At 48.4% G+C, this 19,411-nt stretch overlaps 1 protein-coding gene across 1 annotated transcript, besides 3 other annotated features; it reads right to left on the reverse strand.

The window, feature by feature from the left end:
- Positions 1 to 2,763: 2,763 nt before the first annotated feature.
- On the reverse strand, positions 2,764 to 4,585 carry TMEM158 (transmembrane protein 158). The gene has a single exon (NM_015444.3). It carries the CDS (start codon positions 4,323 to 4,325, stop codon positions 3,423 to 3,425), a length of 903 nt encoding a protein of 300 aa, NP_056259.2. The 5' UTR covers positions 4,326 to 4,585; the 3' UTR covers positions 2,764 to 3,422.
- Positions 4,412 to 4,481: a silencer, noted in NCBI's record as "silent region_14280". NCBI's record gives its function as "represses an Ori minimal core promoter by ATAC-STARR-seq in GM12878 lymphoblastoid cells {active_cell/tissue: GM12878}" and the evidence as "EXISTENCE:reporter gene assay evidence [ECO:0000049][PMID:35858748]".
- Positions 4,492 to 4,831: a silencer, noted in NCBI's record as "silent region_14281". NCBI's record gives its function as "represses an Ori minimal core promoter by ATAC-STARR-seq in GM12878 lymphoblastoid cells {active_cell/tissue: GM12878}" and the evidence as "EXISTENCE:reporter gene assay evidence [ECO:0000049][PMID:35858748]".
- Positions 18,637 to 19,137: an enhancer, noted in NCBI's record as "H3K4me1 hESC enhancer chr3:45281831-45282331 (GRCh37/hg19 assembly coordinates)". NCBI's record gives its function as "activates a minimal SCP1, AML or CMV promoter by ChIP-STARR-seq in primed H9 embryonic stem cells {active_cell/tissue: H9 hESC(primed)}" and the evidence as "EXISTENCE:reporter gene assay evidence [ECO:0000049][PMID:30033119]".

Here is a 19,411-nt window from a genome sequence, read left to right on the forward strand (position 1 = left end):
CGGGAGGTGGACCTTGCAGTGAGTCAAGATCGCACCACTGCACTCCAGCCTGGGTGACAGAGTGAGACTCTGTCTCCAAAAAAAAAAAAATGCAAATGAGAAGCATTTTTGTGATGTGCTCCTCATATGTGCCTAATGACCACATGGCTAGAACAATTCTGCACGTTGTTGGGTAAATTGCCTGTCACAGGTGGGGTTCCTCAAGAAGCAGTCTGTGAGATAGAGATCACTGTGCAAGAGGCTTATTAGGGAGTGTGGATTAAGGCCTGTGGAAGGGAAGGAATGGGAGGAGGCAGACGTGGACAGAGGGAGTAGTTCAACTCCATGAAATCTCCATGGACACCTCAGCCAGCCCTGAGGGAAGTCAGTCTTGAATGGAAGAGGGGCGGGCGCTGGAGGGTAGTGGAGGACCCTTCAGAGCTGCCCCAGTTGTGGCCAGAGGGCTGGGTCTTTCTGCCCCTGTGTTGATCAGTCATTGGATGTGGTGCCCCAGGTAGGAGGTGCGGCTTTAGACAGGGTGGTCTCTTCCGCTGAGGCAAGACCCAAAGAAGACTAAAGTGTTCAGATCTGGGGCTGGAGGCAGCTCTCTGGATGAAAGCAGAAAACTCAGTAAGGCAGCCTTCGGCAGCAGCTGGATATTAAACAAGGGGTATCCATTCTCCCCAGGAGTAAACTTTCTCTCAGGAGAAGCAAAAATAACTGACAATGATGATTTATCCTGGGGACTCCGCTATATCATTTGCAACTCAAGCTGGCCCCACGAAGCTTTATAAATGGGCTGGAATCTGGGGGTGCCATGTGCACATGTACACAGGCTAAAATGGCACACGTCTTTTCCTGTCATAGAACTCCTGACTTATCCTTAGTAAATTACGTACTTGGAAGCGTTTCACTACTGAGATGATGCAAATCAAACTGACTAGAAAATACAGACCCCACAGATGAACTTGTCAAGGCCTGACTTCCTTTACCCAGTGGGCGACTACAGCTGAACAAGATCAAAAGGACCTACAGGCTCTGTCCTCACTTTCTGGGACTAACTAGTCCATCAGTGATACACACACACACACACACATAGCCCAGAACACACATGCACACATGCAGGTTCCACTGGCAATTCTGAAAGTCAATAGATGTTGATATTTCAATCACCCCTAAAAGGTAGATGTTAGGGCCCATATATAGAAAGTTCCATTAAGTGCCTGAGTGTCTCATTTAAAATTAATGCTATCAGGTTCTTTGGGGTTTGTAGCTACACAAAATCTGACATTGGCTAGGGTAGGTCAACAAAACGGTGGACCTTGAGCAGTGAGCTCCTAATTTTCCTGGGAAAAGAAGTTTCTAGTGACGAACAATACCATTCAGGGAGGCAGAAATCCTGGATTTAGTCTCAGCTCTGCCTCGTGTAGCTGTGTGATTGTAGACAAGATGCTCAATCTCTCTGAGCCATGGTATACATCTTGGAAAAAAGCAGGGAGAGTGATTACATGTGTGTACAAAGAATACATAATGTGTCTCCAGAGTTATAAATGCTATGATTACATTAAATTGATCAAGGTTAGCAAAATTATTGACTTTTCTCCTGCCAGTTACCACAGGGTTAAAAAATGGTGATGCTTACAACCTACAAAGATCAATACTCCACCCTCTCCCCTCTCAGGGGCTGGTACCTGCTACAGATATCTCAGGACCTCAAAGAGTCAAAGGGGCAGCTGAAGCTGCAGGGCAATGACCCAGCCTCTCCTTCAGCCAGATTGCTGGGAAAATAAGCATCCCATTTATTTGATATAATAGACATCTCAAGATAAAAGGAGACAACCTACATTTGAGGGTTCCATTCCACTAGAACACAGCAGAGCAGTTCTCAAACTGGTAATGCATAGGAATGCCTTGGAGGGCATGTGAGAACACAGATTGCTAGGCTTTATCCCAGAGTTTCGGATTCTATAGGTCCTGGGTGGAGCCCAAGTTTTGCATCTCCAAGTTCCCAGGTGATGCTGATGTTGCTGGTCCAGGGACCAGGCTTTGAGAACTATAGCTCTAGACCAATCTCAGATATGCTTGCAAAATGAGGACGAGATGGAGCAAGGGAAAGCAGCTTTCAAAGTCTCTTAAAAACGCTTTTAAAATAATTTTTAATATTAAGTCTCTTTAAGGACTTTTTACTTATTCTTCTGAAAACCTGGAAGAATTTGAAACTACTACACAGCAGACACTGTAACATGGAAACCAAGAGTGAGGAAAATCTTGTGATCATTAACTATTTATCCCCCAAGAGTTTATCTTTTTAAAAAATCTAAATGCCAAAATAATATCTCAGGTTTTAATACCAGCTTTTGGAATGTGCTTATCTGCTAAAGTTCATGCATATGAAAAGAAATCTACATGCCTTTTAAAGTGAGTCATTTTCGTGAAAGCCATCCAGCTCAGAGGAACTATTGATTTTACCATTTTGATGCTTGCCTGGGTGTTTTGCAGAGCTTAGAACAATGAGCAAAAAGTTAAATCATATAAAACTGTGTTTGCCACCGTGACAGGTGGGGGGTGGATGGGAACTGAGGGTCAGTGTGGTGAGATGCAAGACAATCGCCATCAGGGCAAATAATACTGTTTCCATCTATCTCTCACAGCCAGGTAAAGGAGACAGAAGTAGCCCTTCTCTAACTTTTCCGAGATTCCCTTGCTCAGGTTTTAGGGTAACGTCTTGCAATTCTGGGATTCCCTTTCCCAAATCAAATAAAGAAAAAGCTACATACACATCTCTGGAGGAAAATGTCTGTATTAAAAGCCAAAAAACCACATAAGTACAAGAAGAAACGCCCACCAGGCCACGTCACTGGATAGATCAACTTGGAAAAGGTTCATAAAGTTCATTTTCAGCGGTAACAATATATCGGTGTTAAATCCTTCCCATGCCCTCCCCCCAATTTTAAATAAATTAAAAAACCACAAATTTCAAATACAACTATGTTCAGATACAAAGAGCTTCTCTTACTACAGCAATAGCAATTTAATCTTTTTGTTTTGTATTTTTTTTACTAAAACTTTCATTTAAAACAGTTATTAAATATATAAAACAAATACACAGGATTTGGTCATTTTCTGCCATGAATCTAGGGCACGTGGGTGCGGGGAAGGAGTCGGGCAGGGGGATGCAATAGAGGGGAAAGGGCCCCATTTCCCTCCTCTCCGTCTTCGGAGCTGCGATCCCACCCTCAGTCCAAGGGCTTAAACATCTGCTTTTCGGAACTGGAAGCGCAGCACAAACCTTGCTTTTCAAAGGCGCTGGGGTCTCTCGGCGGCCCCATCTCGGGAAGAGGAACTAACGATAACTACAGCACGAAGCACACCGGCCGAGTCTCCGGCGGGAAAGGCACCCGCGCGCGCGGACACAGGACGGACACAGGGAGGAGCGGAGCGGGTCACTTGGTCGCCACCCCCGAAGTGACGGCCGCGGCGGCGGCGGCAGCGGCGGCGGCGGCGGCGGCTGCGGTGGTCCCTGCGGGCACTGCGGCGGGGGTGGCTGCGGTGGTGCTGGCGGTGGTCCGGCGCTGTTCCATGCCGTTGGGCAGGAAGCCGGCGATGATGGGCACCGGCCAGATGAGGGCGGCCACGCTCCACACCACGATGACCAGGGTCATGAAGCAGGCCACCAGCGTGGACTCAATGGGCTTACGGTTCAGCCGCCAGCCCGGCTCGCCCTGCAGCTCCTCCAGGCTGAAGTCTAGGCAGCAGAAATGCAGCGGCTCGCCCTGCAGCCACAGCGGCCCGGGCGGCTCGGCCGCGGGGTAGGCTGGCAGCGCGGTGGGCGCCCCGGCGGTGGCGGCGGCGGCGCTGGGGGCGGCGGCGGGCCGGAGGCGGCCGGTGCGGCGACCGCGCACCCAGCCGCAGCCCACGCAGAGGCGCAGGTCCTGCTGCGCGCCGCCCGCCGCCAGCCCCAGGTGCTCGATGAGCAGCGGCGGCCCGACGCGGTGGAAGGCGGCGGCGAAGAAAGCGCGGCCGTGCGCGTTGGTGGAGAAGAGCAGTAGGTCGCACTGGAAGCCCCGCGGGCGGCCCCAGCGCACGAGCAGCGAGCTCAGCATCTGCCGCTGCACGCTGATGTTGCACGGCGCCGCCGCCGCCGCCGCCTCCTCCGGGCCCGGGCGCTCGGGGGGCCCGGGGGCCGCCGAGGCCAGCAGCCGCGGGGCGATGGGCTCGTCCGCGGAGGACGCGTTGACTGAAGCATTGGAGGGCACCCCGAGGAGGCCGGGCGCGTCCGCGGCCCCGCCGCGGACGGGCGGCAGCGGGCAGGCGGCGGCCAGGAGCGCGGCGAGCAGGGGCAGCATGGCCTGCGGCGGGCGCCTACGCGCGCGAGGCCGGCGGCGGTTGCATGGCGAGCGGGCGACGGGCCGGCGAGCTCACGGTGGGACCGCGGGAGCCGGCGGCCGGGCGCAGTGCGGGCGCGCCGGGCGCCTGCCAAGCCCGCAGGGGCGGCGCGGAGGCGGTGACGGCGGCTGGCTCGGCGCGGGGATCCCTCCAGACCCGGTTGCGTTTGGGGTTCCCCGCCGCCCCCGGCGCCGGGGCCCTTGGGCTGCCGCGCTGCTCTGCGGGGCCGGGTGCTATCCCAGAGCAGGATTCCCCGGCTCGGCTCCGCCTCCCGCGTGCCCCGCCCCGCCCCGCCCTCCGCTCGCCAGGCTCGGGGACTCAGGGGAGGGCGGGGTTCCACGCGCCGGGGCTGGGAGAGGAATCGCCGGGGCGGGGCTGGGTGCGGGGGCGCGGCGGAGAGCGGATCGCCCGGGGTGCGTGCGGGCGGGCGGGGAAGCCTGCGGACGCGCCCGGGCGCCCCCGCGCTCCGGGTGAATCGCGTTCTCAGAGGGAGGCTCCAGGGCCCGGAGACCATCCTTTTGTCAGGCCTGAGGGGAGCTTCGCTGTCTCGCCTTAGTGCTACCGAACCTCCTTTGTTTTACAGAAGGGGAAACTGAGGTCGAGAGAGGGGAAAGGGCCTCGCTAGGCCAACTCATGAGCCAGAAACAAGTCCGCGCCACTAGCTCTTTCTGCCTTTTTACGGTGTCTCTTACCTCAAATCTGTAGAGTTTGGCTGCTTTTTAATGGCTCCAACACAGCAGACTCACTTGGGATTCTCCTCGCAGCAAGCGAGGAAAATTCCAAGAACTCTGTGGAGTTTCGAGTGGAGAGTGACTGGCTGGGGGGAATGTGAGCCCTGAAGCTGTGCCGCCTGGGGGTCCCGAGGACACAGGTCCTGACAGGTCGAGTGAGCGCGTGTTCATGAAACAGTTGTAGGTTAGAACCCACGTCAAAGGGGCAGTTCATCCCCTTTGGGATATTATACGGGAGGAGGGCTACCAAGAATAACGTGTCAAGAGATCAGATTTATCACATTTATATTGAAAAGCACTTTCTTAGTAGTTCGGCCCCTCACACTTGGAAACAAACTTCAACGACCCTTCATCATTCCCATCGTTCTTTAGGGGACATTTATGTTGAATTATTATCTATTTTATTTTAGTTGGAAGCCCTTGTACTCCATGAGCACCAAGTATTCCTGATTCGGAGAGGGGAGGGGTGGAGGGAGCAGAGAAAGGCCTCAACAAAACCGCCTTCCTTCTAAACCAGCTAATCCTGAGAGGTCTGCCAAGAGTCCAGCTACATTGCTAGGCATCCTGGCTGATTACTTTTCTGGAAGCTTTTGTCCATTGTTTTCTAACAATGAGTAAAATGGGACTGAGAAAGTTGCAAAAACGCCTCAAAATAAAGCTCCCCAACTTATTCCACCTCTTGCCATCTAAGCAAGCCATTATTCTGACTTAGCCTTGGTTTCCCCATCTGAGTTGGGGGGTGGGTGGTACCTCCTCACAGGGCTGCTGTGATAATACTCCCAACCCAGTGTCTATCTGTCCCCAGATGTTCCCACATGGTGGTTGCTGTGATGTGGTTACTAACAGTGCTGCCCAAGTTGGCTGCCTAGAGTGGTCCTTGGTTTCTACAGAAATGGTTCATTTCCCCAAGGGGATGGGACTCCCTTTTCGTTTCAGCCTCCATCACTTTTGTGCTTGGAAGTGGTGCTACCAGGGAGAACAATGTGAATTTTCCTGCTTTTAATAAAAATGACTTCTCCTTTCAACCTTTGCATATCAGGAACAGAAGCTGCTCAGTGATGTGGCAGAACAGTTTTAATTTAAGCCATGTGTCTGGTGAACCCTGAAGAACAGGAATATCAAGTGATCCTGAGGGCTGAGGGAGGCCTAATCTTCAAGGGGTGCGTTTTGAGCCAGGCTGTTGCCTGTGACTGCAGATGACATTCTCTGGGGTTTCAGTCAGAGGCAGAGGCTTCCTGAGCTTTCCTGAGACACTCCTGGCTTTGTCTGTGCAGGGGGGAAGGCAGCAGCAAAGGGAAAAGACAAGAGATCTATTTGGGGAGCCAAGCAGTTCCCTGCAAAGTTGCGCCACTGAAGCTCTGCATCCTAGCAACCTGCATTCTGCCCACTTTTCCAGCAGGTGCCGTCCTGAGGACTCCGTCACCTCGCCCTCATTCAGAATGTAATTACCCTTCAAATAGTAACACAGATCCTACTTTCTAGATTGATTTGCTATCTTTTTGGAATTTGAGAACAGAAGATAGCGAGGAAGTTATTTTCTATCTTGTTTACTACTGTTCCCAGCAACGGGAAAAGCACCTAGCTCAGGGTAGAGGCTCAGTAAATACATTTTTGTTTGTTTGTTTTTTTGAGATAGAGTCTTGCTGTGTCACCCAAGCTGGACTGCAGTGGTTCGATCTCGGCTCACTACAACCTCCGCCTCTCAGGATCAAGCCATTCTCCTGCCTCAGCGTCCTGAGTAGCTGGGACTACAAGCATGCGCCACCACGTCTGGCTAATTTTTGTATTTTTAGTAGAGACGGGGTTTCACCATGTTGGCCAGGCTGGTCTCAAACTCCTGACTTCAAGTGATCCGCCTGCCTTGGCCTCCCAAAGTGCTGGGATTACAGGTATGAGCCACCGTGGCCGGCCAATACTTCTTGATTGAACAAATTTGCCTACCTCTGACTAGCTTCCGCTTGTTTAGTACTTTCCACGTGCCAGGTGTTTGACACATACACACACATCATCTCTAATCTTCACAACAATCCCATGGATGTGATGCCTATTTTACCATGAGAAAACTGAGGCTCAGAGAAGGTGAATCACCTACCTGAGGTCCCACAGCAGTTAGTGGCAAAGCCAGGATATCAGTACAGTCTCCCTCATCTGAAAAGTTCATTTTTTTTTTAAATAAAGAACTAGAGGCATCTCATCTCATGGCAGTAGGCATCAAGGTCTGTGCATAAGTTAAACAAGTATGTGGTACAATTCTATTTTATTTTGATAAAATAAACTTTCAGTTGAGTTCCTTTTTAAAGATGTATTTTTTATAAATATAACAGCCTTATACAAAGGTTGGAAAGCAGGGAGGAAACAATTCTAATCCCAGCTACCTGATGTCTTTACTTTTCTGCCTCTGCATCATTATTCTTTTCTGCATTTTTTTCATATTATCTAAAATGTGCAAATGTTACTTCTACCAAAAAAAAAAAAAGAGGAAAATTTGAAGTCTCACCACCTTTCTCAACCATGATCTCTTTGTGGTCCTCCCTCCAGCTCGGCAGGGACCTGGAGGGCCAGCCAGGGCAAAGGGTGGTCCATGCTCGTGTTGGCTGACTGAGTGAGTCTGCCTACTGGTAAAGAACTCTGCCTGAGCTATCGGCTGACACCTGTTCATAAGCTGTGGTTCTGGCCACCTCTCTGATCCATCTTCTCCTACTTTCCCTTCTTCTCTTCACCTGCTCTGTTCCAGACATCCTGACTTCCCTGCTGTTTCATGAACACACCAAGAAAACTCGACTCAAGGCCTTTGCCCATGCTTTTTCCTCTGCCTGAGACAGTGTTCTGATACCTGTCTTGCTTGCTCCCTCTCTTCCTGTAGATCTCTGCTCAGATGTCGGCTCCTCAGAGATGCCTGTTCTGACCAATCTCTATAAACAATGCCCATTCCCACCATCCCCATCACTCCTCTTTTTTTGAGACAGAGTCTCAGTCTGTCACCCAGGCTGGAGTGCAATGGCACAATCTTGGCTCACTGCAACCTCTGCCTCCTGGGTTCAAGTGATTCTCCTGCCTCAGCCTCCCCAGCAGCTGGGATTACAGTTGCCCCCCATGGCACCAGGGTAATTTTTGTAGTTTTAGTAGAGATGGGGTTTCTCCGTGTTGGCCAGACTGCCCTCAAACTCCTGACCGCAAGTAATCCACCTGCCTCGGCCTCCCAAAGTGCTGGGATTACAGGCGTGAGCCACCGCACCCGGCCTCCCCATCACTCTCCAGCCTCTTATGCATTGTCCCACTTCTTTCAGTACTTCTCATCAGCTGACACACGGTTGTGTTTTTCTTTGTTTAATGTATCTTCCTTTATTTGCATGTCTGCTCCCTCAAAGCAAAACTACCTGTTTTGTTCAATGGAACAGTACATGGCACACAGTAGGGATTCAATAAATAGTTGAGGAATGAGTGAGTGAATTCAATAGACTGAGTCAACCCAGCAAGACATGAGTGGCATCTTAGGGAGTGGAGATGGACAGAACCACCTAGACAGTCCTTATATCAGGTTTAAGGAAGAAAGGCAGATGAGATCCCTTCCATTTCCCCAAATCCTGTAATATTTATAAAATGAATGGAAGGCTTTGATAAATTTCTGATTGTCCATAAAACGAGGACAGCACATTTTTCTCCATGGACTGTATTGTTAGAACACAATAATTGAGGACATCAAAGAAAATTATTAGGAATGATGCATGGTAATTTCATTCTGTTCATTTCCTATGTTCCTCCCCAGTATTAGCTAATTTTTCCTTATACTGCCTATTGAAGTAATAACTTTAAAAAAAGATCTCTCTGAGTTATTTGAATTCCTTTCATCCAGTGACCTCAGAGTGTGGCAGGTACAGCAATTCATTGGTTCTCTTTTATTATGTGGGTGGAATTAAGATATGATTACCATATGTTGTAGACTGAGAAATAAGCAAGAACCACAAAAGAATCATAACAACAGGACGGAAAAAAGCAGCAGCTAGAAGCCAGTGGTTCAGCTATATCAAAGTCATAGGAGGTTGTCGTACTTGTGTTGAGTGTGTGTTTTGGGGAGGACTGGGAAGTGAAGAAAATAATGCTTTTCATGGGTGTCCTCCTGATACATCCCATTTCTCATATGGGAGGCTCGAGGACTGGTTTGCAGGAGCAGCTGAAGATCTGGGCATCTGCCAGGGGCCGCTGGAATGGAAGTCTGGAAGCCCCCAGTGTTCAGCTGATTTAGACCCTGACAGTCTCTTGCCCTCTGCTTGCATGAAGCATTTCGATTCCCCGCCCCCCTGCCCCCCCCATGTCTCTACCCAATCTCCAGGGTGTGGACATTTATCCTTCCTGACCACCATGGTCAGAAGGGAGGGTTGCCTCTGCAGAATTCTGGCTGCAGTTACAGCCTGCACAGTTCATTTGGTAATCATGGGCCGCCTTGGGACAAGCCGACTGTTGCCAGCCTACATTGTTACTTAGACTTAATTCTGTCTTGCACATTAAATGTTTGCATGTGGATACCTTGTGTGCATGGTAGGCAGGGACTGCTGCCTGTATTTCTTTTCTGTAGTCATGCTGTTCATCTGGTAAGATTTCAGCAAAGACATTTTGAGGAAGTAAGAAGCTTCTGCTCTTCTGGAGAGATGGAGAGTGTCTAAAAGAGCACTGGGAGGAAAGTGGTGCCCATGTGGTACATGTGGTGCCCTTCAGTTTTCTTGTCAATGAAAACGAGAGAAATGCCTGCTGAGAGAGCACCTCTCCTGGGCTTAGCCTGACGTTGGCACCTTTACCAGATGATAGCTGTCCCTTAACTGGCAGTTACTTGTGCCAGGCGCTGTGCTAAGAGCTTGAAATGCATCCTTACCATTGTTCCATGAGGAAGAGATTTCTGTGCCATTTTACAGATGAAGTAAACTGAGGCTCAGAAGGATAAAGTGACTTTTACAGTCATACAACGGTGGAGCCGAGATTCAAGCCTTGTCTGACAACCTTGTTTTTCACTGCAGCCCTGCTGAATGGCCTCCATCATCACTAACAACCTTGCGAGTTGGAGGTTATCTTCCCATTTTACTGATGAGAAAACAGGTGCAGGAAGGCTGGGCATTGGACAAGGACCGACTCATTGGCTCTTCAGCCTTCCAGGAATATACCCTGCATCCAGTCTCAATTCATAAATTCTGCCAATACTGAAATACTTAAGGATGTTTTCCCAGTCTGATGCATCCTTACTGATGAAGCTCTGGCTTGTGGTTTTCCTGCTATCAAGTGTGTCTCCTCCACTGGTGTCTTTAATGCTCAGCATGGCACCTGGTACAGAGTAGGTGCTCAGTTAGTGCTGGTCGGGAACCTGGGATACAGCTTGACAGACACCCAGCCTGCAGCTCCCAATTTACTTAGGAGCCTTCACGTATGACATTGGTGGATTTTTAAACAAATTACTTGGAGAGGTACGGAAGAGAGAGGGGAAAAAGTCCAGGGAAACTAACACACATTGATAGGGACAGAAAAGTGGTTTCTGTGAAACGACTGCTGTGAAACACTTATTTCTGGGGTTAATGTCCATCACATGAACCTAACAGAATCTATTCCTTGAAAACAAAATGTTTTGTAATATGGTAACATGCATTTCTATAAATTTGTGTGCCACTTAAAGTAATTTTTTTGGGAGAGACAGCCCTTAAAGCAAGTGATATTTTGTGGTTTGTGTATCCACCTTATAACAAATTAAGATGACATTTAGCATTCATAATTGTAAATTCTGAGGATTTCAATGTTGCAAACCTGAGAGACAAAGCTGCACCATCAAAGTCAAGGCAGCTGGATGTTCCCCATCAGCCACTAAAAGTGTCATAAAAATTTACTTCATGCTGCTTCAAAACAGCACTAACATTCCCTTCAAAGGAAATAATTGGCATTCCATTTACAGAGATGCAGAAGAGATGGGGGAAGCAAAAGCCCATTTTGAGAGAGTCAGGAACATTGGAACACATTTATCATGGCCTTTCATGCCTTCTAACCTCAGTCCTTCTTGCTGGATCTATGGGCTCCTACATGCTTGTGGGACAGCTGAAGTTTGCTTGGATGTGCTCATTCAGGCAGATGTTCTGCCTGACAGTCTCTTCACGTTGAGATTGCCTCTTGGTCAGTCTGTTCTCTCTTTTTCTACTAAAGTCCTCAGATTTGGGGATTTGAGAGAGTTGTGACTATGACCACGGAGCCTAGCAAACCTGGCTTGGATACACCATTTTGTCTTGTTGTGTCTCAGTTTTCATGTCTATGAAATGGGCCTAATAGCTGCTCTATTGTGAGGGTTAAATGAGTTTATTGTTATAAAACAGCCAGTTCAGTGCCTGCACAGGGTAAGTATTCAGTGAGTCCAGCTAGCTAGCACTTTTAGTTCCAGAAAGTACTGCTTTTTGGAACACTGGCATGTGGCTTCTTCTCTGTCCTTACCCTAATGTGGAAACTGGTATATTTCCACCTGCATGGATTCATCACTGTATGTGGAAAATAGGGAGGGCAAGCTCCCAGCTTAAAAGAAGCTAAATTTCTATCTACATGGGGCCATCCTTGGCAATCAAGCAAATCCAGTGGCCATGACAGTTAGAAGAGATCCTAGAGGCCACCTAATCCAAACTCCTGATTTTATACATGTGGAAACCAAGGCACAGAGAGGGGTCCTGGCTGTACCAAAGATCACAATCTGGTTGATAACAAAACCAGGGCTAGAAGCCAAGCCCCTTGGCCAACTGAGCATCAGGCACAGCGCCTCTCTAAGTATACTCCTTTGCAGTGCTTTCATAGCTGCACTTTAAAAATGAGGTCCAGTTGCAAAGTGAGAGCAATGAGCCTTTCTAATTTACTTAGGAAAGAAGAGGAAAATGATGGCCTTTATAATTGCTGGAATCACACTTCTAACTAGATTTACAGGGTGGAGGATTGATTGCATGCACCAAGAGTGCCGGTGTATTCAGCAAGCTTCCGTTCTGATGCAATTAAGGCTTGCTCCTTCCAGCTCTGCTGAGGACCTGGGTGAGATTCCAGGAGACTCAGGTGTGAGATGGAAGCCCAGGCTGCACCAGCCCTGGCCTTAAGTTTGAATAAATCCGTGGAAATAGGCAAAAACTTGGAGCCCATGTTCTAAGTGGGGCTGTTGGGTCATCACTAGGCTGAGCAGAGGAGACTAACTGAAAGAGCATTCCAGCTACAGACTCCAGAAGATTCTGGGTAATTTGTAGGTGGAGCCTTCTTGACCTTCTCTAACTAGGCCCTGGACCAGTGAAGACCAGGTCTGGAAGGATACCAGGTTGTCTTGGGGTTTGAATCATCTATGAACTGTACAGTCTTGGGCATAATGCTTACCACTCTGAGCCTTAGTTTTCTCAACTGTAAAATGAGAATAATAATGGAGCACTTGCTTCACGGGGTTGTAGTGAGGACTAAAAGAACTAACATTTTAAAATTACATGGGACCGTACCTGATATGTAGTAAGTGTTCAAAAACTATTAAATAAATGAGTAAATAAAGACATGAACTATATGCCTGGAGACTGTGGAAACTTTAAGCTGATGACTTTGCCTCTGGCCACCTGGACTTAGAGCCTGCCACTTGCTCATACTCCCCCTCTGGTGTGACTGAACCTGTCTCCACACCACATCCTGGTTGGGGAGGGTGGGGCTAATGTCTCTTTCTCTCTTCCTTCTGCTTGTTCCTGCCATCACTTGGATCCAGTCCTGGGTCATGCTTCCTGTTACCTGGGCTGCTGAGCAGACTCCTGCAGTCCTTCACACAGTAGCAGAATCCCCATGGGACTGCCTGCTTGAAGCTTTATGCCATGGTCACTCAGGGCCTCCTGTGCCCTTTCCCTGCTGCCCAGGTGGCACCTCGAGGGCAGCCTCCATCTTGATTGTATCTGGGTTTGTTCTGCCCTCTGGACTTTGGAGATGTGTGCCATGAGCTTCTCCAGAAGAGTCCAGTGCTGCCCTGCAGCTGGGCCTGTGGTCCTGGCCTGCTCTACCCACCTCACCTGGCATGGCTCATGCCTTTTGGCTGGCTGCTGAGCAAGAGATGGAGTGCGCAGGAGAAAGGAATCAGACCTCTTCTGTAACCAAACTCCTGTGGAAATCTAGACCAATGAAGCCTAGAGATCTGAGCTGCCCACTTGTCACTCAATTGTGAGTGACAGTATGGCAAGAAAACACATTATTTACCCTTCTAGAGGCAAACCAAAGAGGCTCACAATGTCCCACAATCCACCAAAGGCCCAGCCATCTCTCTGCCCACCAAAACCCATATCCTCAGTGACCTCTGTCCCAAGAAGGGACATCTCCCAGGGAGGACCCATGTGGCCTAAACTTTTCTTCTATGCCCCTGTGGCCTAAACTTTTCTTAAATCTTGTCTATTTTAGTTCCTTGCTCATTGATAATCTGGCGTCTTGTTTTAAGCTCCAAAATGGCAAATCACTTTTATTTTGTAGCCTAACTTGGATTGTCTAGGAGTGGTTGTTGGAGTGCTATGTTAAGAAGGACCCTGAGAAATTGAAATACTGCACTGTTAGTGGGAATGTAAAATGGTGCAGCTGCACAGTATGGAAGTTTCTCAAAAAATTAAAAATAGAATTAACATATGATCCAGCAATCTTACTCCTGGATATACATCCAAAGAATTGAAATCAGGAGTTTTAAGAGATATCTGCACTCTCAGGTTCATTGCAGCATTATTCACGATAGCCAAGAGGTGGAAGCAACCGAAATGTTCCAAAGACAGATGAATGGACAAAGCAAATGTGGTATGTGCATACAATGAAATATTATACAGCCTTAAAAAAGAAGAAAATCTTACTATTTGCAACAACATGGATGGACCTGGAAAGCATTACAGTAAGTGAAATGAGGCAGTCACAGGACAAATACTGCATGATTCCACTAATATGATGGATCTAAAATACTCAAACTTTTAGAAGCAGAAAATAGAATAGTGGTTGGCAGGGGATAGGGGAAAGGGGAAATGGGGAGTTGTTGTTCAATGGGTATAAAGTTTCAGTTATATGAGATGATATGGTTTGGATCTGTGTCCCCGCTCAAATCTCATGTCAAATTGTAATCCCCAAAGTTGGAGGTGGGGCCTGGTGGTTGGAGGTGATTGGATCATGGGGACGGCTTCTCATGGTTTAACACCATCCCCCTTGGTGCTATTGTGGTGATAGTGAATTCTTGTGAGATCTGGTTGTTTAAAAGTGTGTGGCACCTTCCCCGTCTCTCTCTTGGTCCTGTTCCTGCCATATAAGATGCCTGCTCCTGCTTTGCCTTCCACCATGAGTAAAAACTCCCTGAGGCCTCCCCAGAAGCAGATGCTGCCATGCTTCCTGTATAGCCTGCAGAACTGTGAGCCAATTAAACCTCTTTTCTTTATAAATTACCCAGTCTCAGGTATTTCTTCATAGCAGTGCGGGAACGGACAAATACACGAGATGAATAAGTTCTAGAGGTCTGCCATACAACATAGTGCCTATGGTTAACAATATGGTATGGTGTGCTTAAAACTTTGTTAAGAGGATAAATCTTATGATCTTATGTTAAGTGTTTTTACCACACACACACCCCCAAAAGGGACACAAACTTTTGGAGGTGCAGATGTGTTTATTAACTTGACTGTGGTGGTTTCACAAATGTATTCATAGGCCTGGCATAATGGCTCACGCCTGTAATCCCAGCACTTTGGGAGGCCAAGGTAGGCGGATCATCTGAGGTCAGGAGTTTGAGACCAGCCTGACCAACATGGAGAAACCCTGTGTCTACTAAAAATACAAAATTAGCCAGACATGGTGGTGCATGCCTGTAACCCCAGCTACTCGGGAGGCTGAGGCAGGAGAATCACTTGAACCCAGGAGGCAGAGGTTGCAGTGAGCCAAGATTGCACCATTGCACTCCAGCCTGGGCAACAAGAGTGAAACTCCGTCTCAAAAAAAAAAGTATTCATATGGCCAAACTCATCAAATTGTACATATTAAATGTATGCAGTTATTTGTATACCAATTATTCCTCAATAAACCTGTAAAAAACTAAAAGTATGCCAGGGCCATAAGAGGGCTCAGGGAGAAAATGTGATGTACTCAGTACTCAGCAGTTATTGGCCAGGGTTATGAGAAACGCAGACTGTAGTGAATATCTGTGGTTTATCTGCCCTACATCCCTTCTCCACTTTCTTCTGGAAAGGGCATCCCTCTCTTTTGGGTACCTGCTGCTTATTAACTCTGTGTGGTTCCAGTGAGGATACCAATTACAGTACCTTGCTTGCTGGTTCAGTGATGGACATGTGACCCAGGCCTAGCCAATCATGATGCCCCAACCACATAGCCACAGTGATTTGTCCAGGGAACAAGCATGTGACCCAAGCCAGCCAATCAGAGATCTTCCTTGACATAAAGCCAGAAAGGAAGGCTGCTCTTTCCTCTGGAATCACTGGCTGGAGGAAGTGAGACTGGAGCAGTATGCAGCTCTGCCCACGTCTCCCTCCACTCCATGCCCCTTTCCCTTCTCCCGGCACACAGAAAGCCTATAATAGGGTTCTGCTCTGTGTCCCCACCCAAATCTCATGTTGAATTGTAATTCCCAATGTTGGAAGGGGGTCCTGGTGGGAGGTGATTGAATCATGGGGGTGGACTTCCCCCTTGCTTTTCTTGTGACAGAGTTCTCCCAAGGTCTGTTTAAAAGCGTGTAGCACTCCCCACTCCCATGGCCATGTGAAGACGTACCTGCTTCCCCTCACCTTCCACCAGGAATGTAAGTTTTCTGAGACCTCCCCAGAAGTAGAAGCCCGTACAGCCCACAGAACCATAAGCCAATGAAACCTCTTTTCTTTAAACATTACCCAGGCTCAGATAGTTCTTTTTTTTTTTTTTTTTTTGGGATGGAGTCTCGCTCTGTGGCCCAGGCTGGAGTGCAGTGGCACGATCTCGGCTCACTGCAACCTCTGCCTCCCGGGTTCAAGCAATTCTCCTGCCTCAGCCTCCTGAGTAGCTGGGACTATAGGCACGTGCCACCATGCCCGGCTAATTTTTTGTATGTTTAGTAGAGATAGGGTTTCACCGTGTTAGCCAGGATGGTCTCGATCTCCTGATCTCGTGATCCGCCTGCCTCGGCCTCCCAAAGTGCTGGGATTACAGACGTGAGCCACCGCGCCTGGTCTCAGATAGTTCTTTATAGTAGCTCAAGAACAGACTAATACAGCCTGTTTGCAGTAAGAAGGAATAAGGCTAATGGCAGGAGGTGGCAGATGCAGAAAGGCCTGACATTGTCATCTGAGACCCTAGATCCAGCTGGACTTGAAGCCTGCTATCCCTACTGTGATCAGATTGTGGGCTTAAAAACTTAAGCTAGCTTAAACTGGGTCTCCTACACTGCAACCAAATACATGCAGGAAATATCTGTCAACCCTCTTGTTGTCACTCAAGACAACTTCAGTCCTAACAGGGTTTTAAGTTTAACTGGGAAGCCCCTTCACTTCCTCTCTTCACACCCCCAGAGGTTGCCTGGCTCTAGTCTTAGAACCCTCTAAAAGCAAGAAGAGTACTTTTTTCTCCTCTTAATTATATTCATAAGTGCTATGGGTAACTCTTCTTCCCCCTGCTCAATCTCAGGAGAAATTTTTGTTCCTATAGCAGGGGTCCCCAACCTCCAGGCCATGGACCTGGCTGCACAGCAGGAGGTGAGTGGCAGGAAAGCCCAGGGAGCAAAGCTTCATATGTATTTATAGCTACACCCTACTGCTCGCATTACCACCTGAGCTCTGCCTCCTATCAGCGCGGCATTAGATTCTCACAGGAGCACGAACCCTATTGTGAACCGCACATGCGAGGGATCTAGGTTGTGTGCTCCTTATGAGAAGCTAATGCCTGATGATCTGTCACTGTCTCCCATCACCCCCAGATGGGACTGTCTAGTTGTAGGAAAACAAGCTCAGGGCTCCCACGGATTCTATATTATGGTGAGTTACAAAATTATTACATATTACAATGTAATAATAATAGAAATAAACTGCACAATAAGTGTAATGCACTTGAATCATCCTGAAACCATCCCCTACCCCATGTGTGGAAAAATTGTCTTCCATGAAACCAGTTCCTGGTGCCAAAAAAGTTGGGGACCGCTGCTCTGTAGGGCTGAGCATTTGAACCAAATCCTTCAACTTCTGTGAGTCTGTTTCAAGGTCATAATCATGAATAAAGAAAATTTTTAGCTCCAAGATGTGTATTATACATTGTTTATGATAGCAAAAAACTGGAAGAAACTTAATGTCTATAAATAAGGGGATAGTTAAGTCAATGTAGCCATGTTCACATTATGAAATAGTATGCAGCCATTACAATGGTATTTACAGAGTTTCCTGCTTAGCGTGGCATTGAAAGCACTATGCAGAATTTAGCCCTCTCGTGGTGTTCACGAGGAGCATTGAACCACTGAGTGCAAGTGATTGTTCGTATAATCTTTACTGACACTTTCTGTAGTTGAGGGAGAGGTCACATTGCACTGGGGCGTGCAATTCCACTGTCAATTCTTTGCTATACTCTTTTGTTGTCCACATCCCCTGCAATAGTCCCGTTGTGGGGTCTCAGTCTCTTGTGTCTTTCTCATGCAGCACCTAGCCTGTCTTCACTCTCCTCCTGTCTTGATTTGCTTTAAGGAAACTCAAAAGCCTTTCCTGTCAGTCACAAAGAGCAATCTAAATCTCTCCTAGCTCCTCCCTCCCAATTCATCCTGGGACACTCCCTCCCCACCCACCGCCCCCACCAGAGCCATTCAAGTAGCTAGATTCTTTCTCCTTATGAGGCAGTTGAGCCCTGATTTTTGCCACTGGAGCCCGTCCTCTGAGGTTCCTACCTCCATTGCAAATGGCCAGGAGGGCTTCTCAGACCTAACTGCACCAGAATCCTTGGAGGGTTCCAGAAAGCACAGGTGCTGGGCGCTGCCCCAGCGTTTCTGATTCAGCACATCTGGGTGGGACCTGAGAATTTGCATCTCGAACAAGGTTCCAGGTGATTCCCAAGTGATGTTGATTCTGCCAGTCTGGGGATCACACTTTGAGAACCACTGGCTTGGAGTATTTCTTCTCCACACAAACAAGACTCTCCCTAAGAGGAATTTTGGTGAAGAGTGTTTTTTCCATCTTGTCACATAGTATTATCATTGTTAGAGGGTAAAAAACTGACCTAAAAATGCTCGTGCCTGGAGTGTCTGCTTCTCAGTCTCTCCAGACCAACAGAAAAAAGGATCACAGACCAGCCATCTGCTGGGTTTGTTTAACCAAAGAGATGCAGATCAGGACCCATAGCTTGGAAAGTGAATTTCTAGCACTTAACTAGAGCCATACCCATGGTCACCAACCCAGAGAAGATACCAGTGTTGGGAGCAGATTTAGGCCTGCATGGGGCTGGAGTCTGGGGCCCCAGGAGCCAGGTGAGAGAGGTAGACCAGTCAGCACAATGGCAGCTATATTCAGTTACCTCTGTGCTAGGGCATGTTGGAGATGGCCAAGGGCACAGCTGGCCTAGCTGTCCCTGCCCCCAAGGCCTTGCTGTCTGTTGAGGACACTGGTCAAGCCAGCATGTGCAAATATGCAGGCACCTTGAACTCACGGTGGAAAAGCCGTGGGTGGTAGAAAAGTCCCAGGGGATATGCTTCTAGTCCCATGAGGGACATTAGTTAGCGAAGCTTTGATCTGGAGCATGTCACATTACCTTCCCAGATGTGTCATTGATAAAACAAGGGGCTCGCACCAGATGATGACCTCTGTTCCATAAGACTCCACAGCCAAATGGACCCTCAGGGCTGGCATTTCACTTCTCTATTAGGATTTTCTTTTGGGGGAGCAGGGCTGGATGGACCTGCTCAAATGTTGCGAGAACTTGGGACAGTTATAACACCTTGGTGTGTTTTGCAGCCTCCTTTGTCATGAGGCTCAGACTGCTAGAGACTCTCCACCCTGTGCCTGATCCCTGTGGTGCTTTTATTTTGACAGGTGGACACAGGTGTTGGGGGAGCACAGGTGTGGAGATAGGGGCATGCTTCACTCCAGATGTTGGGGGTGCCCAGCACAGCTGACCTGGGTTGACCCCAGCTGGCTGTGTGGTACATCTGAAAACAGGAGTGCTGGGAGAAAAAGCATCAATGGCTCTCGCTTAGGCCACTCTATGGATGGCAGACCAGACCAGACCATTTAAAATGGCTGTGGATCATGAAGGGAGGGACTCAATTGGGACTGGACTGGGGACAATATTGCAGTCTGTGTACAAGAGTGTGGCTCCTCCTTGGA

This window comes from Homo sapiens, chromosome 3 (assembly GCF_000001405.40).
Source record: "Homo sapiens chromosome 3, GRCh38.p14 Primary Assembly".
NCBI lineage: Eukaryota > Metazoa > Chordata > Mammalia > Primates > Hominidae > Homo > Homo sapiens.